Here is a 26,609-nt window from a genome sequence, read left to right as displayed (position 1 = left end):
GACAGAAGGCCAAAGCTGTCATACATGGTAAAGGATGATAAAAGAAAGAAGAAGTATTGATAGGAATAAGTTAAAAAAAATTGCCTCCATAAATTACATCTGAACTCTTTCCTTGAGATGACTGGAGGGCATGTTGCAAACTCAACAATTTATGGCCAGTTACCTTTTATCCTTAAAATCACACAAAACAGGCAATTATTTAGAATGAAATAATCAGTTTAATATTATTTATAGACTTGAGAAAGAACTTGAATTAAAATTCAGTCTGGAGTCTGAATTAGCACCATCTGAATACAGAAAGAATTCTATGTACATGCACAAATTAGTTTAATTAACATATATAGGTAAAATATATTTGTTTGTTTTACTTGATATACTTGTTTTGACAGACTCTTCCTGGGGTTACACTTATTTTTATTAGTTGGCTGGGCATGATACAGGTTGAACGCCCCTCAGTTCCAGGGCCTTGGCAAAATTAACCTCCAGTGGCTTGCCTGTGCCTTTGGTGAGCTTCAGGGATCTGATGCAACCTCGGAACGGAATACTGGTTGTTAGGCCAAACTGCTTGAGGTCATCTGAAAAAGGCAATGCAAGAGGGCTCAGCTTTGAAATGTCCTGCACCAAATATTAAGAGCATGTTTCAAAGTCAACTGTTAGCTTGAGATTAAATTGGAATGCTGTTTTATGCAAAGTTAGTGGTTTTGTTTTTAGCCTTACTAATAGAATTGTAGAGAAAGAAAGATCAACTTAAAATTTTTTGAGACAGGTTCTTGCTCTGTTGCCCAGGCTGGAGTGCAATGGCGCAATCAAGGCTTACTGCAGCCTCAACCTCCTGGGCTCAAGCGATCCTCCCTTCGCCGTGTTGCCCAGGCTGCTCTCCAACTCCTGGGCTCAAGAGATCTCCCCATCTATGCCCAAAGTGTAATTCCAAAGTGTTGGGATTACAGGCATGAGCCACCATGTCCAGCCTCAACTTTTTAATAGTTATAACATATGAAAACATCTAGAATTATACATCTTAAGACATGAAATAACTTGGTTTGGGATGAACAAATTTATAGTTGTGACTTAAAATTGTAAAATGTTACTTCATGAAACAAAGCAATTGATCAAATACTTTTAAGTACTGACTTACTTAGAACTTTTTGAAGGTGACTTTATCACTTTCTTACATTGTAAAAATAAATCCCTAAAGGTTAAGTAGGTTGGATATTCATGTAGAATCTTCCTCTTATTATAGAGGTGCTTGTTTCAGTAGGCCTACTAGGTGTTAATTAGGATCCCATTATCATAGACTGAATGGAGAAGTACATTACCTCCTTCATAATATCTTGGAATTTATCCTGATTGAAGCAAAAGATCTTTTTAAAACACAGAAGCCACTTTGGAAAGAGGAGCTGTCGTTGGGCCCCCATTGCATTTCTATCAACATTGCTCTGTCAACAATTGCTGAATATACATTTTGCTTGTTTCATTTAGCAAAGGAGCTTTATATAAACAGGGATAAAAGTTCCTCTTGACAAAATGATGAAAGACCATTCCAGGAGGCTATGTTATTACAGTACTTATTAAGAGGCACTTGGCTTACTTCTCATCAAGTTGGCCACTCTTGTTTATGGGCACTTTAGGTAAATCTCTACAGTTCACATGCTATATTTAATGTGCTAGAGAAGGATTCTGAATGAGGATTTATTGCTTGCGTTTCTTTGTAATATAAATATAAACTCTATAATAACATAAGGGGGAAATTAGCTATGTTTAACCCAATGATTTCCAGAACTTGAGGAAATAAGTTCCATAACATTTTATGATTGATTCCTCTGGTATATTAATTTTAAAAAAATCAGAAAGAACACCAAGTTTGGCTCCAATTGCTGTTAAATGCCTCATATCTTTTATAAGCCAAATTCATTTCCTCCAGCTTCAATCTCTCCACGAAGGAAACTTTGGGGGCTCTCATGAAAAGTTCAGTCCCATGTGGTTTATATAAGTAATATGTTCATTTTACACACTGGAAATTTTAGGTAAGGTGCAGATTCTAAGCAGATTCTAAAGCTAGGAAGCAAGTACACATAAGCACACATTCTTAGACACACGTAAATATAAATGTTTTCAAAACCAGTAACATAAGAGAGCAAAGAAATTGTTGCTGGGGTAGCCAACACTCACCTGGGAAGCCTCCAACAAACACAGGGTCATTTGTGTCAGCTGATGTAGATGCTGGGTTTGGGCTTTGGGCTTCCACCTGGTTCCCATCGACTGTGAGCTCAATGCGGTGTTTGATCTTGTTGGCAGTGACTTTATGCCATTGTCCATCACACAAATGCCCTGGAACCCCAGCATCATAGACAGCAGTGAATCTGCCCGCACCATTGTCCACATGAAACATCAACTGGAAAGTAGGAAATAGAACAGTCACAGATGGTTTCATTAAAGAAGTATCATGATGGTTCACACATACAAATGATCAGGTCTCTAGGAAAGACATCAGCCAGAATCATTTGAAATGGATGTAACTGGGCATATTGAAAAAAATTTTAAAACTTGACAAATTAAAGTATAAATCTAATCACCAGGAGCCACAAATTATGCTCTTTGCTTTGGGGCATTGTTGGGAGTTAATAGGCAAGATACGTAAAGCTGGTAATAATTCTGCTTTCAGAAAAATTTGAGGCCAGGTGACAAGAAAAGGACCTAGTGTACACAGGGAAAAATTCTACCTCACGTCTTTTTAGAATGTGAGAGTTCTGACTGAACCTTATAAAATTTTCTTAAAAGATATTGTTTAAAGTGACTCATTAATTTGGTTTACAAATTCAAAGTAAAGGATTTTTTAAATTTTAAACTTTTGATGTTTTAATTATATTTTTTTCCTTCATGGATTTCATTTTATATACAAGATTGAGAGTTACATAAATTACATTTTGGAGCCCGTTTCATGTCACAGGTGCCAAAGACCTGAGCCAGAAGGCCAGTTAAATTCCTAACAATGAAGAACTTAGACTAGAAGTTCTGGTCTAAATGAGAAAAATCTGTTTTTAGTAATGTGGAAAAGCCCCTGAAATTTGAGATGACAGAATTCTTTTGAAGCTGGTGAAGAAACGAAACATATTGAAACACTAAAAACATTAGTCAGTTTGGCAAGACATTCGACAAGGTAAAAGAAAAGAAATGAAGTCTTAAGAAGAAAGATTAAAAATGCAAGTAAATAGGTGAAAAGTTTGTAAACTCTATTGATGTAATTATTAATGAAATGTTTACTATATTGGGTGGAGTTTGCATAACAGGCTTTTGCATGTAAAAGGAGCTTGGTGAGAAACGCACATGATAGTGACATATCGATGGTAACTGCCCTTAAGAGCATGTTACTTGAAAAAGATGTAGTAAAAGTATGTTTGAAAATTTGGTAAAACTATTGAGTGTTACTTATTTGTTCACTCCTTTTTACCTCTAAGCTGGTGGATCTTTTTTCCTATATTACCTTTGTTGGAGGACAGTTTGAAAATTGAGCAGAAAGAGGAAGAAAGCAAGAAAAAACTATTTTAGGTCACTGTGTGATTTTTCTTCTTGGGAGGCAACACTAAGGGTGGAAACGTGAACTGAGTTGAAGTACGATTCCTATTTAATAACCAAATAGAAAACTTGTGAAATTTCTTGTTTTCCCTTCTCTGTTTACCTGCTGCCTATAGTGCAAAGTTGTCTTAATGCAGGGCTGAAAGAGGTGTTTAGAATTTGATTATCAATTATTATCAAACTGACACACTACTTTTATAAATTTGCTGTTTTTTGAAATGGTAGCTGGATGCTTTTTTAAACAAATTGAGAAACTGATGCGTCAGTTGGCTACCTTGGCTTCTAAGAGATGCCTAGCCTGTTAAAAGAGGCAGACTAATTTTAGATGATCCACCTCTCTGCCTTTTCTCCCACTGGAGTCCATAGTCTCATAGACTGTGTGTTCCTTAAGAGGAGAATAAGAGTGTGTTTATAGCAACACAGTAAGAACTCGAGATCTCAAACTATTTGGTTCATTATTAGTCAACACGATTGGCTTGCTGTACAATTAATGCATTTAAAATTTATACTGGCCTACAACATGCTGAAAACATACACAAATTGAAGTAATCCAGAAGGATGAAAACATACAATTTAGCTTTCTCCCAACAAAGAATACAGCCGGGCTTCAAAATATTCGAGTTTCCCACACATGGATGATATCTACACATCAACAATATCATGAAGAAATCAGAAATGTTTGCATTGCTGACACTCACCTTTTCATCAATCATTTCAATACCCATTCCATCCATTTTTTGACTACTGATCCCCAGAAGAACTCCAGTCGTTGTAGTTGTGCGGAATTCAAATTCTACAAGAAGGTCCAATCCCACTTTGAATCCACCAACTGTAAAATGAAGATTTTAAAATATTTTGGATTAGAGGATGGGGATTGTTAATTCAAACGTGTACAATGCATGACTTTTTATTATATTTCAATTCAAATGCTAGCTAATTCTAATGAGGGCTATAAGTTTCAGATCCTGCCTGGCCTATCTTCCACCACTGCATCATGTAACACACTCCATAGTTAGTTATTGCTTATTTTCTGGGCTACCTTCCCTTTTAGAATGTATGTGCTATGAGATCAGGGGCATTGTCTATATTTTTCACCATTTTATCCCTGTGCTTACCAAAGTATCTGGCACAACATGAGGGTTTACTATGTATTATTTGAATAAATGGATACACACTGAGATTGACTTAAAGAATCTCACTGTCAGGTATTATTATCTTAGAAGTCTCTCTGTTGGGTAAAGAAAAACATTTCAGTTATTTTTCAGTAAAGTTTTAGTGGGGCACACTAAATGGTGCCACAATCATCTGAAAGGTTTCAAAAGTTGCCACACATTTTATTAATAAAGAGAGAAACTGTAAGTACAATGTTGATGGGAAGCTTCTGGGACATAAATAGACTTATCTTGTTCATCCAGTTAATTCTTTCCTCTATGATTTTCCATATTTGACTCTTTGATTTTTTTTTTAATCTTTGAGCAAGTATTTAAGATAGATACATCACTTAGGAACAAAGTGATATGTTAAGATCTGTCTAGACCACACCAACTGAACTGAGTATCAGAGAAATACTCAGGGGAATTTTCTCCAAGTCTTCTATTTATTAGGCAAGAAATAAATGCTATGTGTAGCCACGGCTGTCTGCAATGAAGGATGGTAGCTGTTACATGAAAGACTTTTGTTCTACTGAGAACCTTGATGGGTTTGGATTGGCAAAGGTGGGTTTATAGCAGATTTTATGAATAAAAGCTAGCCAGTTGCGCCTGGGCAACATAGTGACACCCCTTCTGGAAATAAACGAAAAAATAAAGTAAAGGGTAGAAGAAGCTGAATTGCTCTGCAAAATAAAACAGAAAGGGAGAAGTAAGGAGAAGAGAGGAATGACATGAGGAAGTTCGGCTGAGGACAGAAGGAATGAAGAGGCCAAAAAAAAGCCCCAGTGATTGGGTCGCTGGAAAACTTTTAAGAACAAAGATGTCAAAGGTTAAGATGAATTGTATGTTTTCCAGTGAAGTGATCTCTTCTGACCACCCAAGTCTTATGTAAATTGTATTACACTGTGTGTTCAGGGGATGGCAAGGGACATTAGAAACAGAGGAAGTGAGTAATTTTCTGGTTTTGTTTGATCCAGAATTATAAGAGCCCAGGCAGGATGGCAAGTCAATCCATTAAGTGCAAAAGCTGAAGCTGAAACTTGTCATAAAATTTGACTAAGAGAATGCCAGCCATCTGTGAATTTGCAGAAATCTTGGGGGAAGCTTTTAGACTTTCATAGCACATGGAATTCGGGGTTCAGCATAACCTGTAACGTTTCAATATTTAACATATCCTGTGTTTTTCTGTTTTCTGCTTCCCTGTAGGTGGGGTTTCCTACCTATATTTTGGTGGAGGGTCCTACTCTTCTATCACCCACTACTTTGTATGGGAGTGTTAAAATCACCTGAAGCCTTGCTCAAATGCTGATTCCTCCATGAAACGTTTCCTGATATCCCCCAAACAAAATTAATCTTTTTTTCTAAGTATCTACAGAACTGTGCTTTTTTTGTCTTTAATCATTTTTACTTGCCTTCTTTCAATTTCTTACCAGTTGATAATATATTCTTGATAGAAAGAACTATGTTACTTATTTCTGTTTCCCATCATAATCTCCACATATTATGTGCTTATTAGTTTATTTCTAATGAACATACACGTATTTCTATGATACCACGGGACTGAATATTCTATCTTAAAGTACATTAATTGCAGATTTTAAAAATTATTATGCAGTTTTCATTGTAGAGACCTTTCACTTATTTGGTTAATTCCTTAGTATTTTATTTTATTTGTAGCTACTGTAAATGGAATTACTTTCTTGATTTCTTTTTCTGATTGTTTGCTGTTGGCATATAGAAATGTTACTGATTTTTGTATGTTGACTTTGTATCCTGCAGCTTTACTGAATTTATCAGTTCTAATGGTTTTTTGGTGGGGTCTTTAGGCTTTTCCAAATACAAAATCATATCATTTGCAAACAAGGATAATTTGACTTCTTCCTTGGATGCCGTTTACTTTTTTCTCTTGTCTGACTGCTCTAGCTAGGACTTCCAATACTATGTTGAATAACAGTGGTGAGAGTGGGCATCCTTGTCGTGTTCCAGATCTTAGAGGAAAGTACAATAAAAACTATAAAACAATGATGCAAGAAATTCAAGAGGGCACAAAAATAAGATATTCCATGTTAATGGATTGGAAGAATCAATATTGTTAAAATGTCCATACTACCCAGAGCAATCTGCAGATTTAATATAATCCCTATTAAAATACCAATGAGATTCTTCACAGAAATAGAAAAAATTCCTAAAATTCATATGAAACCCAGAATAGCCACAGCTATCCTATGCAAAAGGAACAAAATTGGAAGAATTACATTACCGGACTTCAAATTATACCACAGAACTATAGTAAGCCAAACGGCATAGTACTGGCATAAAAATAGGCACATAGACCAGTGGAACAGGATAGAGAAGCCAGAAATAAATCCATACATCTACAGTGAACTCATTTTCCATAAAGGTTCTAAGAACATACATTAGGGAAAGGACAGTCTCTTCAATAAATGGTGCAGGGAAAACTGGATATTCATATGCGGAAGAATGAAACTAGATCCCTATCTCTCGCCATATACAAAAATCAAATCAAAGTGGATTAGAGACTTGAATCTAAGAGATCCAACTATGAAACTATTACAATAAAACATTGGGGAAATTCTCCAGGACATTGAAATGGGCAAAGACTTCCTGAGTAATACCCACAAGCACAGGCAACCAAAGTAAAAATAGACAAATGGGATCACATCAAGTTAAAAAGCTTCTGCACAGCAAAGTAAACAATCAACAAAGTGAAGTGACAACCCACAGAATGGGATAAAATATTTGCAAACTACCCATCTGAGAAGGGATTAATAACCAGAATATAAAAGGAATTCAAACAATTCTATAGGAAAAAAATCTAATAATCCTATTTAAAAATGGGTACAAGATTTGGATAGACATTTCTCAAAAGAAGATATTCAGATGAAAAACAGGTATATCAAAAGGGGCTCAACATCACTGATCATCAGAGAAATGCAAATCAAAACTACAATGAGCTATCATCTCACCCAAGTTAAAATGGCTTTTATCCAAAAGACAGGCAATAACAAATGCTGACGAGGATGTGGAGAAAAGAGAACCCTTGTACACTGTTGGTGGGAACGTAAACTAGTGCAACTGCTATGCAGAACAGTTTGGAGGTTCCTCAAAACACCAAAAATAGAGCTACCATATGATCCATCAATTCCACTCTTAGATATATACCCAAAAGAATATTGAAGAGATATCTGCACTCCCACGTTTATTGCAGCACTAGTTACAATAGATTTGGAAGCCACCTAAGTGTCCATCAGCAGATGAACGGATAAAGAAAGTGTGGTACATATACATACTGGATATGAATAAGCCATAAAAAAGAATGAGATCCTATCATCTGCAACAACATGGGTGGTTCTTGAGGTCATTATGTTAAGTGAAATAAGCCAGGCACACAAAGGCAAACATCACATGTTCTCACTTATCTGTGGGAGCTAAAAATTAAAGCAATTCAACTCATGGAGATAGATAGAAAGTAGAAGGATAGTTACCAGAGGTTGGGAAGGTTAGTGGCAGGGAGGAGTAGGGATGGTTAATGATACAAAAATAGTTTGAATAAGATTTAGTATTTGCTAGCACAAGGGTAACTACAGTAAAAAAAAAAAAATAATTGTACATTTAAAAATAACTAAAAGAGTATAATCAGATTGTTTGAAACATAAAGGATACATGTTTGAGGTGATGGATACCCCATTTACCCTGATATGATTATTATGCATTGCATGCCTACATCAAAATATCTCAGGTCACCCATAAATATATACACCCACTGTGTACCCACAAAAATTAAAAATTAAAGGATTAAAAAATTATTATGTAGAGGTTATTTCCTATTTCTTTTTCCTAACTGTACCTTCATGACCAGTGATATAAAACCATACTGGAAATGTTCATTAGAAACGGAGTGGAGAAAGCCAGGAAAGATGCCAGTCATTGTCACTATCAACAAGAAACAGACATGGGTGTGCATTGTGTGTATGGGTGTGTGTTGATGGGGAGGAGATTATGAAATACAGCCTTGCAGGGAATTGAAGAAAAAAATCATATCTCATCTCCAGAAACTGGAAGGTAGAAAAACAACATAGTATAAACATATGAGTGTTCTTGCAAAATTATTTATTTTGCTGTTCTTAACCTCCAGTGAAGGAGATGGAATAAATTCTCTAAATAGACCTTTTACTTTATTTCTTCTATTAATTCTTATCAGGATCAGATACATGAATTTTTAAGAGGCATTTTTGAAATTACTTCCATAAGTTTCTTTTTGGCTTAAATAAAGGATACTAGTTTAGGACTCTAGGAACTTTTATTATTTGGTACTAGCAAGAAGTTAGTATTTGTATCTAGTTAATAATCAACAGGAAGGAAATGAAAGAGCCTTACCTGCTTTGGCAAAACCGGTTCCGTCAAAATATGTTCCCCTCTGAGCATTTGCAAAACATGTCCCAACATGGAAGCTGGAGGTGGGTTGTTCCAGATCGGCAGGGGCCTCTGCCATGTGGAGATTCCTGACGCAGCCATCAATGCTATAGGTCACCTAAACATTCAGATCAGAAGAAACAAATGTCAGGTTTTAGCAGAACTTTGCCTTTATGTAGAATACAGTCATTTGCAGGGTGCTCTATGTGTGTAGTTATCCAGTTGTCTTAGGATGGGATATCCCCCAAAGCTGCCTGGGTTCTCTGTTACCACCAGGCCTCCTGGCATGGATGCAGAAAATCCTGTGTTGTGCTTCTCAACTTGGATGTGTCTATCCTGGAATATGACTGTTCTCATAGTCTAAATACTGCACACTATGTCTCCATTGGTTTGACAGAGCTATGGGCCCCATGTTGGTATCATAAGTTTTAATTGGTCTCTTACGTTCCTGATTTTATGTTTCTATTAATAGTTTATTAACCTTACTATATACCCATTTTGTCATAGCCTATGTTCAATTTCTATTTGAAAAGGTAATTAGGTTTGGTTCAGTGCTTCTTCCTTTTGAATATCTAATGAAAGCAGCAGACCCTCCCCTAAGAAAATGCAAATATGCATAAAACTTGAAAGTTTGCATGAAACATTGGGGGTTCAAGGAATTTAGAAGTAACTCAATCACACTCTGGTCCATTATATTTTATCTGTTTTTAGAAATTCAAGTGAATTGCTTGTACCAGTGTCACTTCAGAGACTTTAGTTTTTGATAGACCTAAAAAGCATATCCAATACCTATGAAAGAAAAGTAATACTGATCATCCACAAGAGAAGCCAAATACTGAGAATTACAACTATAATGGGTGATTGTCTTTGATGAATGAACAAATCTACATTATCATGTGTTCTAATTTGAGTATAGAAATGTATCACATTTGTATCTAGTGTGTTCTCTAAAAGCACCAATCAATCCCCCGTGCTTCTCTCAGAGTAACACTTTCCAAAGCAAACTAGGATACACGGTCTAATAAAAAATTATTTTGTGAATATTGATTTACAAAACTGTGAGGGCTTTAAATTCTGAATCCAAAATTGGATAACTGTACTGTAACTACTGCACCTCTCAATATTTGCTAAATCTCTATGCCTGAAACACCATGAATACATACCATCATTTTCATCTTTCAGTGCTTTTTATATGCCTGCTACTCTTCCAATCACTTTATTTTTATTTTTATTTATTTATTTATTTATTTTTTTGAGACAGGGTCTCGCTCTGTTGCCCAGGCTGGAATGCAGTGGTGCTATTACAGCTCACTGCAACCTCTGACCCTCGGGTTCAAGTGATTCTCTTGCCTCAGCCTCCAAAGTAGCTGGGACTACAGACACACACCACCACACCTGGCTAACTTTTTGTATTTTTGTAGAGACAGGGTTTTGCTATGATGGCCAGGCTCATCTTGAACTCCTGGTCTCAAGTGATCTGCCTGCCTTGGCCTCCCAAAGTGCTGGGATTACAGGTGTGAGCCACCATGCCCAACCCAATCACTTTAAATAAATTACCTCATTTAATCTTTATGCAATCCTTTTTGTTTAGTATTATCATTACCCTGTTTTGCAAAAGAGAAATCTTTGTTAAAAAAGATTAACTTGCTCCAAAACACACAGCTAGTCAATAGTTAAATAGGTATTCAAACCAAGACAGTTTGGCTCCAGGTTCCCCACTCAGTGTTCCGTGGCATTGTCTCTCATAATCTAATCTATCTAAAAAACCTTCTGTCAGCTGGGCGAGGTGGCTCAGGCCTGTAATCCCAGCACTTTGGGAGGCCGAGGCAGGCGGATCATGAGGTCAGGAGATTGAGACCATCCTGGCTAACACAGTGAAACCCCCCGTCTCTATTAAAAGTACACCCCGTCTCTATTAAAAGTACAAAAAATTAGCCAGGCGTGGTGGTAGGCACCTGTAGTCCCAGCTACTAGGGAGGCTGAGGCAGGAGAATGGCGTGAACCCGGGAGGGAGAGCTTGCAGTGAGCCAAGATCGCACCACTGCACTCCAGCCTGGGCGACAGAGCGAGACTCTGTCTCAAAACAAACAAACAAACAAATAAACAACAAACCCTTCTGTCCCTTATCAGAAAAGATGACTTCCTATTCACCTATCAGTTTTCATGGGCCCATGTGACCTAATAAGTCAAAATATATCAATAAATGAATCAGCCATATATTTAAGTAATAAAGAAGAAATCAGATATTTACTGGACCAATTCTTCGGGTAGTGTAGTTGATGGGTAACCCACCAACATACAGCATTCCCACGACATCCAGGATGTCGGCTTTTTTGGGACTGATGGTTCTGTTGGAAGCCCCATCTACATAAAGAATTCCTTCTTGCTTACTTCTCATTATCTTAATCTACAAAAAAGAAAGGAGTCATTAATGCCAATCCTGAACAAATTTCACATATGCAGAGTATAAGACATAAGGACTCTAACGATGTTACCAAGAAAAATTGAAACAATGTACACAGTGCTTAGTATGCGCTAAGCCCATTATATATGGGAAAGTTAAACCCATTTTACAGAATATCTCAAATTCTGTCTTTTCCATGACTACTATCACCAAAAGAATACCAAATTTTCCTGGGTCAGTTTTAGGTCGAAGTCTCCTCGGTAGATTGCCAAATGTGGATATGTGTGGAGAGGGAGGAATGTTGTAAGGAACCCTGCAGACTAATAGCACTTTCATAAATTAAGTGGGTAGCAAAATTCATGCACAGTTTTAAAAGTGCATTAGTTTGATTGAGCAAAGAGCCTGGGCTCCCAACACAATTTCAGATACGCTACATCCCTTTGCCTAACAGGCCCTTCTTGTGCAGAATTAAAGAAAGAGTGGCACAAATAAGCTGCACTACTTTCTGCAGAACCTGATGAGTACAAAGTGGGGGAGTAAGATAGAGAAGTGACTGAGGCTGAAATTTAGGGCGGTGGAGTGAATTATCTTCTGAGACAGAATGAAATAAGGGGTGTAAAGACTGGCTGGAGTATAAAAACCTTGAGTCTGAATTTAGGTAAAGGAGCATGAAAGCCTGTGAAATGCTAAAGTACCATGATGGTTTAAAAATGAGTCTGGGTCAGGATTAGAGTAATTTCACACTTCATTTTACACATATCTATTCTGGTTTGGGAAGTAATTTTTAAAAACCATCAAAAATAAAATCCGTTATTAATTTGACTAATTATAGTATTTAAGTTCCCTTTCTTAATCCCAGCCTCATTGTGGTTCAACAATATGTCTTTTTCTCAAATGTCATATTTATTATTCTATTAGCTAGAGATGGAAGAACTCTTAATGAGAGCTCCTTCATTTGGATCTGTATTTGCTAGTCATAAGCTCCCAGCAAAAATGAAGATTCCTTTTCTTATTTCCATGATAACAAATTGGTTGGCTTCGCGTTTTTTAAGGTTCTTTGGCTTTCTAGAATATGACAAGTCAAAGTATGTTAACATTAACCAAATCTAACATCTAATAATATCGTACTCTGAAAATTAAAAATTTTATTGGTCTACCTAGGGAAGCTTTGCTTTAATAGGCTATCGCAGGTGCAGAGACAAATGTTGAGATTTTGTTTTAATCAGGCAGTATATTATCTATTTGCAGTCATGCCAAAGAGGACAGTAAGCTGGCAAATGAGCCTTCTGTGCCCATAATAGTACCAGTTTCTGGGTGTAAGGCCAACGTTTTTAAAGTTGTTCCAAATAACTGTCAGTAGAAATGATACCTTAGAGCCCTTTAAACACGATCAACCAGAGATTCCTGGATTCCTGGTTTTCACAGACCACTGTGTGGTTAGGTGGGGAGTCTTGGGACCCATTTTAGTGTTGCCAACTTTTGCTTTTGGCAAATACTATTTCATAATAGAAAGGCCTTTTAGCCACCATAAAAATGCTATAATATAATCTCAGAATAAATATTATTCCTTAAAATTGAATACATCGAGCTTGATGGTGAACACACTCTGTTCTACGTTTCTCACTTAGAGCAGTGGAAATGTCTTCAGCCACCTGGCCTCAGTTTATGGGTAGATGTTTGAAAACCACAGCCATATAGCAGTGATGGAACCATGATGAGGCATGCCAGTGGTCAAATGCAAACCTACACAGGTCTGAGCACATTTTCCAAGATTGTGGTAGTTGTATATGGCACTTATTTTATTTTTAGCTTCTGCCAGAGTCAGTGTCTGCCCTGGCAAAATATACTGGCACCAGGAGAATGCTGATGGCTGCCACTCAGTAATTCCCTTAGGGTACTGCCAATATCCAGGGGACTATTACCTTGTGCCACTGGCCATCATTGATTTTGGTGGGGATCATGGTGTGGGTGTCCCCACTCCCCAAGTCATAGCTGAAGTAGGGCAATCCATTTCTCAGCTGAACTGTTGCAAAATCAGCATGATTGATGCGAGCCATGTAAAAAAGCAAGCCGGATTCAGCTTCGGTTCTTACTTCCAACTCAATTGTGAGACTGTGAAACAAAAGCATGCAAAGTCAAACAGAAAAATAACAGCATTCTCATGCTAAAATAGAGCGGTATCAGATCGTGGCTGCATTTTCATAAAGGAGAGTAAAACCTTCTCAGAGATGAGGACTTTATCAGGCTACTGATTTCCTAAATTGGGCTCCTCAGGCTCAGACAAATAAAATTCTATTCTCTATTGTACTCAGTGAATAAAAGAAAAGCTAACTTCATTAATTAATAAGTGTAGTAGATTCAACTTGATTAAACACAAATACTCAGTTCTTCATTTATCGGTTCTTTCCCAGTGTCTCAGGATGATACATACCGGTTTTTAACTTTGGTGTCATCAAATGCAATTGCAATGTGACTGTTTCTTGAAAGCCCGAACTGCTTGCTCCCTATCAAAAGAGCTGGTTCTGATTCTGCAGCACAAGGACCCTGTAAAATACCCAGGAGAGAAAAACAGGAGATTATGGACTGTTCTTTAAAAAGGTAATGATGCTGTCTAATTGTTTCTTACATATTAGCGTAATTCTTTAAGAATAAAAACTACATTATTCATCTCTGTAGTCTACTGCATAGTAAGTACTTATTATTGAGTGCTCAGTGCGTGTGAATCAGTTTTCTCATATCACACCCTGGAATGGCTAAAGGAATGTGCTCAGACATATTTATTGATTAACTCATAGTTTCATTATCCTCTAAAAATTTATGTATATTTCTGAGAAAACTGGAATTTCCCTTTCATTTTTCCTTCACATATGAAGAGCTCTATTCTTAGAAGATCGAACAGGGAAAATGACAAGCTAGCCACTTGGGTTATAAGAGTAGCAAAATGTGTTTTTTCTTGCCCTCCCCATTTCCATCTCCCACTATATTACTTTTTCTTGAAAATTATCAGTCCACTAGAAGGTTTCCATGAATGTAGACTTTCAAGATGGTGTATCTAAACCTGCACGTCAGCCCATTCAGGCCCTTGCCAGTTGCTAGGCAACCCAGCACATTTTAAAAATGTAACCCACCATACACCATTTCAACTGCCACTGTTCAAAGATCAGCTTCCTAGGGTGCTGAGGGGGAGAGCTAGGTGCGGGGCTGTGCAGTCACATGGTTTAATGCTCTGCTGTCACCATCTTGAAATTCTTAATAATTTTTCAGTGAGGGGCCCTGCATTTTCCATTTTGCACTGGGCCTTGCAAAGCATACAGCAGTCCTGGCTGAGTAGATCACATTTGGCTACCATAACACACAGCTCCATAAATAATCAAGGCTCCTTAAATTACCAAAGCCACAATTCCTTTCCCTGTTCTCTATTTTCACAAGATAGGTCGATATACAGGCTGCTTATGACATCTCTTAGAACATGCAGTACATGAGAAAATAACCTGCACACTCTCACCAACACATCTGTTTTTAAGATCTGCACTTAATAGCTCTGGCTGGGCCGCTGCCCCAGTGAGTGCTGACTCAGCAGAGGTTCTCAAGCAGCCCAAGGCAGGCTTTTGATGCACAGTGTTCTTCCCAAAGAGTGTACCTCAGAGATGACTCATCAGCACACAGGAAATTTTTACTTGATGAGGAAAAGCCTTGTTCTCTTTTCTCTTGATCTTAGTCAAACGAAGCACTCTGCCACAGCAGGTAAAAGGCTTAAAGTGTTTTGAAATGCCGTAAAATTGGTCTTCATGGAAGTATTTCCCTTCTTGCTTCCCAGGAGATGGTCAGTTATAAAGAGCAGACTGTGGCCGAAATTCACACAGCTATGCAAAACCCCGTGGGTAGGACAGGAAAATGCTATTCATTCGCACAGCTGAATGGCCTCTTTTAGAGGCAGCATGTGGCACCTTTCTTATTACGCTGCCTGCAAAAAGAGCCCGAATGGAAAGGCCTCTGTAGCTTAAGATCTCAGTCATGAATACTTCTATTAATAGAATTGGGATCTTTTATCAGCCTCTCACGATATTTCCCGGACAGAGGACCGTCTCGATAAACACACGCAGCTTGCAGTCTTCCTCAGAAATCACTAAGATAATCCTATCTGCTGTGAGTCCACTGGGGGCAGAATTTCACTGAAACATCTTTACACCCTCAGCTCTGAAAATTGAGGGATTAAGAAAGGTGGATGGATGCTGAGGAATTAGGAAACAATTACATGTAGCTTAAAAGAGAACCACCAGTGGGTTATGTCCATATTATTGCGGTTACAGTCACTCGTCTAATTACTATATGTAAATGTCAATATAACTTCTCTATTAAAATTTAAAAAATTTTCAAGGTGGCAGTTGTACACTCCCGGTAGCAGCTGTATGTTATGGGGAACTTTTGGATTGCTGGTAGACTGGACAGGTGTATCCAAAACTGGTCCTGAGCTAAGCAGCAGTTTTTTGGTTTGTTTTTATTTTGTTGTTGTTTCGTTGTATACTATGAGATTTTCTAGATGGACAAGGCACTGGTCAAGCCATTTTAGAAAAAAACCTTTGACCAGAAAAGGACAGGGACTTTGTCAAAGTTCTTTTAAGAATCATTACAGGTTACATCCACTTGAAATTTAGGAAGAAGAACACCTCCTGGATTAGATCCTCCGTTTCTGCAACGGGCAGCCCTCAAGAAGCAGGCAGAAGCAGTGCTTAATAAAACGGTATTCTCAGATGAGCCAATGTTATGGAAAAGAGTTGTACCAAACTGATCACTCTAACATGTAACCTCAAAGTTTAAAGCCATTATGGTGTATAGTCCTTTGTTTTTAAGGACATCCAAGGTGATGTTTACTATCAATCATTGATTTGCAACAGGATGGATACTGTTTTAATAAAACTTCTATCACCTTCCTTTATTAAACTGGCAGTTGGAAAAGGACTGAGAAGTGCTGGTGTAAGAGGGTTTTTAAAAATATGTACCTTAGGATTTAAATGGGACAAAAATTCCCCACCCTCTAATTTGGTAGTGTTTTGTACAAATCTCGACCTCCCCCTTGCTTGGTTAAAGGGTGTCTTCCTTGCATCACTTTTCCTTGGGTAAACTGAAACCAAGTCTGATGGGTGTAAGGGATGGGCGTGGTGGCTCATGTTTTTAATCCCAGCATTTGGAAAGCCGAGGCAGGAAGATCGCTTGAGGCTAGTAGTTTGAGACCAGCCTGGGCAACAAAGTGAGGACCCCTGCCCCCCTCTGTCTCTCCAAAAGAACAACAACAACAAAAAAATTAAAAAAATAAAAAATTAGCTGGGCATGTTGTTGCATGCTGAAAGCCCCAGCTACTCGGGAGGCCAAGGCAGGAGAATCACTTGAGCCTAGGAGTTCAAGGTTAGAGTGAGCTATGATTGCATCACTGCACTCCAACCTGGACAGTAGAGCAAGAACCTGTCTCAAAAAGAAAAAAAACATGATGTGTTCAGGGCAGCACCAGTTTATTGCTTTGCCCGGTGTTGCTTCCTCTTCTCTTCCTTCTGCCTCATGTCCCACAGTGGGTGGAGCTGCTCATCCAGCTGCTCAAGCTTCTTTTTTCCTTCTAGCATTTTAAAGGGGGAACAAGTGAGATGGAATAGAAACTGCCCTGTGCTTTGCTCAGAAATAAAATGATCTTGTCACTAAGGATGATGTTTTCAACTCTGCTTGCCACTGAAATCTAAGCTAAGAAAAAAGGGTAAGAGAAAAGATCTAATGAGGTAATTTTAAGGAACTTTTAAAGAATGGTCATTGCAAGATGAATCATCCTTTTCTAAGCTAGTGTATACTTGAAGGCGTCCTCATCTCTATGGATGTGATGCTTTACCTGTGTTGTTTTGGACGCACTAATCTCTCAAATGTGTTAAAACAACAATAATAATAAAAAAAAAAATTCACAGTCTCAGTAGAGGCTCATCAATCTCAACGTGTTACAATTCTGCCACCTTGTGGGGACTTTTTAAAGTACTAGAAATAGATAATGGGGAAAATGGGATATGAAAGGAGGACAGATACGCTTGTTTTTCATTTGCCTTTGCTTGGCAGGTTACAAGTTGTAGGCAGACAGGACTTGGGTGGGGAGTCTCGCGTGGTGGTGCACCTGTTGATTAGAGCAGTGATGTGGTTGGGAATAATTATGGAGGAAGCCATGCTCCCAAAGCCTTGTTTAGGGAAGTAGATAGTGCACCAAATTGGTAACGGGGCCAAAACGTTTTCACCCCCACACTGTCACTCATTTAACTTCAGGTCAGAATAAAGCAATGGTCTTTTCTAACTAACTGCAGATTGGTGGCTGACATTTGGAAATGAGTTCTTAGATTCAGGAGTGCGTATGATTCGTTGATAAGCATCTCTTGAATTTCCTGGGTCCTGAGCAGAGATTTATATTACATTTATCAAAACTGGCATCTTTGTTCTTGAAAGCACCAAACAATGAATCATCATAGAAATTGCATAATTTTCTTCTTTCATGAGTCAATAATTAATTTCTCTAATAAATGTGGGCTAAAATCACATCTGGTGCTTATTTGTCATGATTTTCTTTATGGATGAATAAGTGGAAGATACTTTTTATAGCACTGACTTTAATCTTCTTCTAAAATATAAAAGCCCTACTCAAGATGTTTATTGAGAAACTGAATTATTGTTAACACTGCACTTAAGCTCTTTTGGTGGGTCTTGGGCATTTACAGTAATATTTATACATTAATGTCTAAACAAGGATTCCTTGATAAGTGGAAAATGTATGTTTTCTCTTTAAATACATATCAGTATCCAATCAGTTTATCCTTTGGCCTTGACTGTACTTAGGTCTTAAAGGTGTAGCACTAAAGCTGCTAGGGAAATCGCTTTCCTTTCCTCTATTCTTTCCTTCTGTGCTCACTTCTTTTCCCCAAATCCCAAAGAGAGCTCATCAGTACAGGAATTCTCCATGGCTACTTGTATTGTTTTTCTTAGTTTTCACATTTTAAACTGTGAGGTTTACGGCTGAACTCTTCAATAAAATTCAAGTAAAAGAATGCAGCCAGCTCATTATCTACAAATCCACACAGGCTATCCTTGTTAAAAAGACTTGGTCTAAACAGTGCACATACTTGCAGAGAACTTGTCACGTTTCCACATGTCAACAAATTTCTGTAATACTTGAAGTTCAGCCTCTTATCTACCTCTACCTCCTGCCATCCTCCATGAAAAATATCCACAAATAGAACATGTAGAAATGTTTTCTCTAGCTCTCGATGGGCTAAAGAATAAGAGAGAAGTATAAAGAGAAGACAAGCTACCATAATATCAAATGAGATAATATGCATGAAATGCTCTTTAATCTAGCGTGTTCAACATGAATTAATCATAAGATTGACATAATCCATTTCACAAGGCAGGGCTTTCTCAAGACACCCTTACATTGCCCTGTAGTATAGTGAATGTTGTCCTCATGCTGTAAGTTGCTGGCAGGATTGGGTGTGATGGGTGTAAAGAAGAAAAAGAAGGGCACTGAGAATAGATCTTTTCTGTCAACTGTGCTAGCACAAATATGGAGCTCATAAATAGGCAGTTCTCACTTCAGGAGTTAACTTTTAAGTCTTAGTTCTTAAATAACAACTCTTAAAAAGCTAAATTCTGGGCCAGGCGTGGTGGCTTATGCCTGTAATCTCAACACTTTGGCAGGCTGAGGCAGGTGGATCACTTCCCAAGAGTTCGAGACCAGCCTGGCCAACATGGTGAAATCCCATCTCTATTAAAAATACAAAAATTAGCCGGGCATGGTGGAATGCACCTGCAGTCCCAGCTACTCAGGAGGCTGAGGCATGAGGATCGCCTGAGCCTGGGAGGTTAAGGCTGCAGTAAGCCATGATTGCGCCACTGCACACCAGCCTGGGTGACAGAGCAAGAAAAAAAAAATAAAGAATCTAAATTCTGATACAAAAATGGAAAATGGTGAGAAGTGAAAATTATAGAGGACTTATTTAATAACCACATCATTACAATGTATATATCATCATTACATATCAAACCAATAAAAGGGTTTGGAATTGCTTAAAAATTGAATACTCACCACATCCCTTTTTTTCCAGCACCTGCCACCCACCCTAAAAATGTGAAAAGTTAAACTAACTAGAATAATTAAGTTAAAGAAACACAGAAGTTAAAGTTAAACTAACAAAAGAATAAATAGAGAGATGGAATGTTACTTTGAGCCAAGCATGGTGCTAGGTGCTTTGCATAAAATGTATAACTTATTCCCTCATAATAGTAATCCTAGAAGGAAGATATTATTATCCTTATTTGTCCATTAATTATTTTACATTTAGAAGGGACAAGTAACCTGCCAGAATTCATGGAATAAAAGTGGGAGGGCTATGGCAGAAAAAGCAACTCTCCCTCTTTTTCTCTGACTAGCAATGATAATATCGTATTCATCTTTGCACTTAGTAGGTGCTTAATAAATATTTGTTACAAAATAAACTGTAAAACTTTTAACTTTTAGTAACCTTTAAAAAGAAGACACCCTTTTCCCCCTACACACACAAAAAGAACATAAGAAAGGAAACAAATTAAAACAGAAGATATGTGTGGCTTCATGATCTGATTTCTAAAATATAATACAATTAATAGAGATGGAAAGTTCTAAAAAATCTAATTCTGACCACACAGTCATAACTAATTATAATGTGCAAAAGAAGGGGAAATAGGCCGGGCGCAGTGTCTCATGCCTGTAATCCCAGCACTTTGGGAGGCTGAGGTGGGCAGACCACCTGAAGTTGGCAGTTCGAGACCAGCCTGACCAACATGGAGAAATCCCGTCTCTACTAAAAATACAAAATTAGCCAAGAGTGGTGGTGCATGCCCGTAATCCCAGCTACTCGGGAGGCTGAAGCAGGAGAATTGCTTGAACCCAGGAGGTGGAGGTTGCAGTGAGACGAGATTGTGACATTACACTCCAGCCTGGGTAGCAAGAGTGAAACTCCATCTCAAAAAACAGACAAACAAACAAACAAACAAAAAGAAGGTGAAATAGCAGTTGGAATTTAGATATCTGGGTTTTAGTGCCAACTATCGCTCATGTGTGTAACCCCCTGGGCCATGCTGTAAGTTTGAGGGCTTTCTTTCCTCATGTGCAAGTTAAGAGTTGGAATCTTTAGGGTGTCTTCTAGCTCTAATGTTCTGTGATTCTTTCTAAACCAACCAATTTGGCATGCTACTCAACTTTTTGCTTCTGTCTCATCTACTAAGTGGAATGCTCTGTTTTCGGAAAAGTTAAAACATACACTGCTGAGAGGAAATGGAAATCGAAATTAGAACAGAAGGTTATAAAAAAAAAAAAGAACCTTAAATGAGTAAAAATCTCCATTCCCAGATGGGCAAGTATCTTTATTTTGAGAAAAAAGGAAAAAGTGTGATCTCTAAATACCACAGAAAAATGTGCTTGAGAGGCCCTATAAAATGCAGTTTGTGTAAGTACTTAGAAAAGTAAGGTGATCCATGGAGGCTGGCAGGGTTATCCCTAAAAATCCAAACCAGCACAGGCTGAGAGACCTGCCTGGAGGATGTTCTAGTGGTAGAGAAGAAGGTCCATGAGGTTCTGCTTGATTGAATATGGTACCCGATTTGGAATTAGTAGCATGATATATCTATTAAAAACATTAAAACATTCTTAGGTGCATTAATAGAAATATGGTAACAATTAAGGGAGGGAGGGGTCACACTGTCCCCTGAGCTGGTGACTTCCTTTTGAGCAGTAGGTGCCATATTATGAAGGGAATATTTCAAATTTAAGAATACTGATCATGGAGGGGATAGTAATTAGAAATGAGATAATACAAAGAATACCTAAGCTAGGGAAATGGTTAGCCTAGGGAAGGAGAAGACTTAGCTATTTTCAAATTATTGAAGGGATGTTAGACAGAGGACACATAAATGTAATGTGTTTGCCTATAGAAATACAATCATTACATAGAAGTTTTAGGGACTCAGTTTTAACTTAATGTAACCGATGGCTTTCTAACAACTCGAGCCTGCCTTGTCATAACACTGGAAAATCTTGTCAATGAAATGTTCAAGCAAAGGCTGTAAGTATCATGTAAAAGGAACCCATGCATTAAGATGGTGATTGGACCAGATGATCTTTAGGGCTCTTGCCAATTTTAGTTTATAATTTTAAGTTAGTCATTTAGAAATTAGGCTGTTTTCTCCTAGAAACATTTTTATAAGTGGACATTAGGATCCAAGGTCAAAAAAGTTTATTCAACTCATGATGTTTTCTAATTCTTCAACTGAAAACATGTTTATGAGTCTGAGAAACACATGATTTTCAGGTATATGAGGGTGAAGAGGAGGATCATTAACCTTACCTTTGCTAAGCAAAGATCTAACCTGTGGCTGAATTATGAAAGAGCTGAGGAAACATTCTGAAATCCATGTGGCAGATCTCAGGAATGCTTTAGGATGAAATCAACTCCTGGAACTAACCCCCCATGACTGACAGCTTTCCACTTGCTAGCTGTGTGATCTTAGGTATTTTCCTTTGTGAAATATAATACTTCTGGCAATATAAATAAATGTAAATAAAACAATAGGGTGGGAATAAAATGAAATAACAGATATGAAATGCCTGGCAGAGTACTGGACACATAGTAGTTATTCACTAAATGCAGGGATTCCTCAGAGTGTCTATGTGGGTATGCTTTTTCCAGTTTTCAGATAACTTCCGCATACATTATCCCATTTGATTTTTCATAACTCTATGTTGTAGGCAAGATAGATGAAATATCTCTATTTTACAAAGGATGAAAGGATGCTTGGAGTAAATAACCAGTTTTCTTGAATGATGGTTATCTGGCCTCTCATTGAATAACTATTTCTAGTGCAAGGAGCACATTGCTCAACCAATTCCATCGTGGACACTAAGGAAGAGAATGAGATATTCAAGAGTTTTCAAGATCTGCACTCAAGACAACATTGCCCACCCATTACTGGTATGGAATATAACCACAACACATGAGCTGTAAAGAGTGTAGTGACTGTGACCATCTTTGTTGTATTGGTGATAAGAATGTAAATTGGCATAGCCTGTGGAAGAAACAATTCAGGTATGTGTATTGAAAACCTTAGACATATTCATCTTTTGGCCTTATAATTTCCTAACTACTTATCTATTTTAAGAATAACTGGAAATAATGAAAAAGCTTGATGCATAGAGGAGCTCATCAGAGTATAGTTTCTAATAGTGAAAAACTGGAAACACTCTCAATAGCCTACCATGGTCTATTAAAAGTAGAATAAATTGGAAAGGCAGAGTGTTCCAGAGATAAGGAGTCAGACTTTGGAGTCTGACTCGCTAGAATAAAATTCTTACTCTGCCTTTTACTAGTGGTGTGAGTGGGTTGGTTGCTTAAGATAGCTAATTCTTATTAACTCGACTAAAAGTAGAAAGACTATATTTTACAGAGCCGTTATGAGAATTACATATAATATTGAATGAAAATTGTTTAGCCCTGGGCTGGTGAAAGTACTCATTATTATCATTACTACATAGTACTTATGCCATTTATTAAACGTTCAGTATATGTGAGTCATTGAACAAACATTATCTTTTAAAACTCTGATACAAAGTCTTTGATGTCTGTGCTGTTAATATCCTCATTTGACAGATGAGGAAACAGAAATAGTCTATGGCCAAATCACCCTGAAAGCATCCGATCTTTTCTGATCTCAAAAGCTAAGCAGGGTTGGGCCCGGTTAGTACTTGGATGGGAAACTGAGAAATAGATTGGACAGGTAGCTTTCCCAAATTCACACAGATGGTCGGTTACAGTGCTGGGATTTGAATACCAGCAGTCTGACTTGAGCCCATGCTCTAATCAAGGCTATATGACCTCCAATACTATAAAATAGTTGTGTGTCTCTGTGTGTATATATACTTAACATAAAATCATATTAGACATACACATTTATATGATGTTTAGATACAGTTTTTATTTATTTATTTATTTTTATTTTTTGGAGATGGAGTCTCGCTCTGTTGCCCAGGCTGGAGTACAGTGGCGTGATCTCGGCTCACTGCAACCTCCGCCTCCTGGGTTCAAGCGATTCTCCTGCCTCAGCCTACTGAGTAGCTGGGACTACAGGTGCACACCGCCATGCCAGGCTATTTTTTTGTATTTTAGAAGAGACGGGGTTTCACCGTGGTTGCCCAGGCTGGTCTCGAACTCCTGAGCTCAGGCAATCTGCCTGCCTTGGCCTCCCAAAGTGCTAGGATTACAGGCGTGAGCCACCGCGCCTGGCCTAGAAACAGTTTTAGTGGTGTATTACTAGTTTCTAAAAACAGGACACCAAATTGTATACAAGGTAGGACATCTACTATGCAGATAAAAGGGCCTGGAAACCAACATGGTTGCCTCTGTCATGGTATTATAAGTGTCTTTTATTCATGATTCTGGATATTTCTGTGTTTTCCAACATTTCAACTGAAAATGTACTGTTTTGTAAACAAAATTGAAGATGGAAATATAGGTAAGTCATTCAATGAAGATGTAAGAATAGGTTTAGATAGGTTATATTTCTTTCAATTCTAATATCAGAGTGTACTAGATATCCTGAATAATCTTCCTTCTGAAATGACTCAGAATACTGGGTAAAAATTAGAAAGCAATGGGGATAATATAAACACTTACATGTGTCAGAACTGGGGTGGGCGTAGGAAAGGCTGGGGTGGGAACTGGCTCAGGCTGGATAACTATTTCAGCTGGAGCTGCTCCATCTTCATCTTCACGGAGTTTCTGATGGGCACAGCGACCAATGTCAGCATTTTTGAAGGACACAGGCCTTGCAAAGTCCATGGGGCTAATAGAATGTAATAAATAAGATTTTTTTATTTTCGTTTTTTTGCTTCCTTACAATTAAGCCCAATCCCCGCATGCCTTTTTAAGTCCATTAGTGTGCTTTTCTCAGTCTAAGTTGAAGATCCTCATTGTTTCCCTCCTCCCCTGCATAGCTGTAGACAATGTAGATGCATTGGGACCCCTAATAGCAAGAAATAAAAATAAAAAATTAGTAGTAGTAATGAGGAGATCCACTTACACAGAGTTAATAACAAGATTCCATATGCAGCCTTCAAAAGGAGGAATATTTCTGAGTGGGGAAGGTTGAAATTCAGGTGGAGCACCCCCAACGAAAAGCTTTTTAACTTCGATAGGCTGTTCAACTGTCAGGTTTTGCATGTATCTTCTGTTTTCATCCACTTGAACTGTAAAGATGCTGATAAAATATTAAAAATAAACAAGTATAAGTCACATCTGATTCAATACAGTTGGAAATCAAATTCTTTCCTGCCACCCTTCACCCCTCTCAACCATAGCTTTTAAGGGAGCCAAAATTGGATGCTTAGGAATTCTACACTAAGCAAACGCTGTTCTCAGGATCTCGTTCCATGACTCCCTCGTTCACTCTTCCTGAAAGTTTACTGAAACCAGGTCATGGCGCACTGCAACATTAGCCTCTTGTAGAGCTGACAACAGCGCTGTGCAGCCCAACACATGAGCCTGTGAGAACTGAGGCTTCTGCAGTGTGCAGTAATGTCTAACCGTATAAGGGTTGGCAGGTTTAGCAAAGCATGGGGTCTTCCTTGGGTTGTGCTGGCTATTATCTTCTTGCTAGGGAACAAACCATGCTCCTGAGAGCTTAGATTGCAGGAATCAACAGCAAACACTTAAAGCACCTTTTATAAAGAATGTAGCTGATGGCTTTTGAATAGAAGAGGCAGGCAAGGACACCCTGCTAATTGTTCCTTGCAATGATTTTCCTTAGTGGCTGTTTCATTAATTTTCCTAATTTGCTTATGAGAGAGAACTCACACACTGCTAATTGAGAACCTCATGCTACTTATTTACAACAATCCTTGGATCCCTGGGCCAAGAATCAGAAGGAGACAAAGAGTTCTGATGAAAATGACCAAAGGCATTTTCTCTTTTGTTCCGGAAGCAAGTTTTGAGTTTCGGTCTTAACAGTCATCATGGTGCTATTAGTCATAAGCATTAGTCACTAGCCTGGGGATCATGAATGGATTACTGAAAACTTACTTCATATCTGGAGAGAAAACCGGAGTACTTGGATGGAAACCTCAGTCCTAAAGTACCCTCTTACTTGACTTTATAAAGAAGTAAAACCACATGTAGAACTGGAAAAAACAATAAGCCAGGGTAAAGATGCTCTGAATTGGCACTTTACAAGTAAGATAATTCAAAAGTAAGAGAAAGGGACAAAAAATGGATTTCGCTGTGGCTCAAAAACGTCACTGTTAAGGGGGTGAAGAAGGGACCGGTAAAATTTAGTTTCAAAGAGAAAATAGGGGGAAATGACATACTTTTGAGGTTTCTTTCTTTACCAAACTATGGAAAAATGTGTTGGCAAAACCCAGGAGGTTCAGCTTCCTTGCTAAGAGTGTCGGTGGTTTCCTGAGACGAGAATTTCAGAAAACCACTCACTTCCGGGTATGTGTGACTCACTGAGAAGCCCCTCCCCTACACTCTTTTTCCCCTTTAGCTGAAAGCAGCCTCTTCTTAGCAACATGATATCACAGGGCTTCTAAGGTTTTAATGAAGGATATAAGCCTCTGTTAAAGATTGTCCAAGGAGAGTAAATCTCTGTTCTTGATTAGAATTTTAAAAAGCTAGAGGCCTTCCTCTTTCTGGTGTAGCCTCTCTCTGTAGTGTGGTTCTGCCACAAGGACCATCATAGTGACCCTTATTTTTTTTAAACCAATTCACAGGGTGGTGATGGAGAATGAGTGTGGGCTTTCAGGAGGAACATACTGGAATTAAGTACTAGTGTGGAAGCTTACTAGCTGTGTGACCTTGGGCAAGTTATTTAATCATGCTCAGGTCCATTTCATTCATTTATAAGATGGAGATAAAAATACCTACTTCAAACAGCGGAAAATATTAATTAAGGGATTGCCCTGAGGCTGTATTACTTAAAAAGGGCATTGCTAGAAAACTACAGCT

At 38.1% G+C, this 26,609-nt stretch overlaps 1 protein-coding gene and 1 long non-coding RNA gene across 17 annotated transcripts in view, besides 2 other annotated features; one reads left to right on the top strand and one right to left on the bottom strand.

Moving 5' to 3' along the window:
• The window catches only part of LOC102723409 (uncharacterized), a 77,085-nt gene extending 52,802 nt beyond the window's left edge, over window positions 1–24,283 (top strand). For 11 of the 15 annotated variants that reach the window (XR_007059765.1, XR_007059754.1, XR_001743859.2 and 8 more), the window contains one exon: window positions 13,974–14,237. This is a non-coding gene — a long non-coding RNA (uncharacterized LOC102723409). Of the gene's footprint in view, window positions 1–13,973; window positions 14,238–16,217; window positions 18,813–22,472 lie in introns of those variants that run through there. The other 4 variants (XR_001743860.2, XR_007059756.1, XR_007059761.1 and 1 more) reach the window with 2 other exon arrangements.
• The window catches only part of LAMA2 (laminin subunit alpha 2), a 633,429-nt gene continuing 607,018 nt past the window's right edge, over window positions 199–26,609 (bottom strand). For both annotated transcript variants that reach the window (NM_000426.4, NM_001079823.2), the window contains 9 exons: window positions 24,688–24,864; window positions 24,282–24,450; window positions 13,994–14,106; window positions 13,485–13,674; window positions 11,410–11,565; window positions 9,123–9,276; window positions 4,272–4,402; window positions 2,170–2,392; window positions 199–575 (listed from right to left, as the gene is read on the bottom strand). In NM_000426.4, coding sequence (NP_000417.3) covers window positions 418–575; window positions 2,170–2,392; window positions 4,272–4,402; window positions 9,123–9,276; window positions 11,410–11,565; window positions 13,485–13,674; window positions 13,994–14,106; window positions 24,282–24,450; window positions 24,688–24,864 — 1,471 coding nt within the window. In that variant the 3' untranslated portion in view covers window positions 199–417. The remainder of the gene's footprint in view (window positions 576–2,169; window positions 2,393–4,271; window positions 4,403–9,122; window positions 9,277–11,409; window positions 11,566–13,484; window positions 13,675–13,993; window positions 14,107–24,281; window positions 24,451–24,687; window positions 24,865–26,609) is intronic.
• Window positions 13,857–15,056: an enhancer, noted in NCBI's record as "CDK7 strongly-dependent group 2 enhancer chr6:129822854-129824053 (GRCh37/hg19 assembly coordinates)". NCBI's record gives its function as "activates an origin of replication core promoter dependent on BRD2, BRD4, P300/CBP, MED14 and CDK7 cofactors, with strong dependence on CDK7, by STARR-seq in HCT116 cells {active_cell/tissue: HCT116}" and the evidence as "EXISTENCE:reporter gene assay evidence [ECO:0000049][PMID:35650434]".
• Window positions 24,994–26,193: an enhancer, noted in NCBI's record as "P300/CBP strongly-dependent group 1 enhancer chr6:129811717-129812916 (GRCh37/hg19 assembly coordinates)". NCBI's record gives its function as "activates an origin of replication core promoter dependent on BRD2, BRD4, P300/CBP, MED14 and CDK7 cofactors, with strong dependence on P300/CBP, by STARR-seq in HCT116 cells {active_cell/tissue: HCT116}" and the evidence as "EXISTENCE:reporter gene assay evidence [ECO:0000049][PMID:35650434]".

This window comes from Homo sapiens, chromosome 6 (assembly GCF_000001405.40).
Source record: "Homo sapiens chromosome 6, GRCh38.p14 Primary Assembly".
NCBI lineage: Eukaryota > Metazoa > Chordata > Mammalia > Primates > Hominidae > Homo > Homo sapiens.
This window is presented reverse-complemented; position numbering and strand designations above follow the sequence as displayed.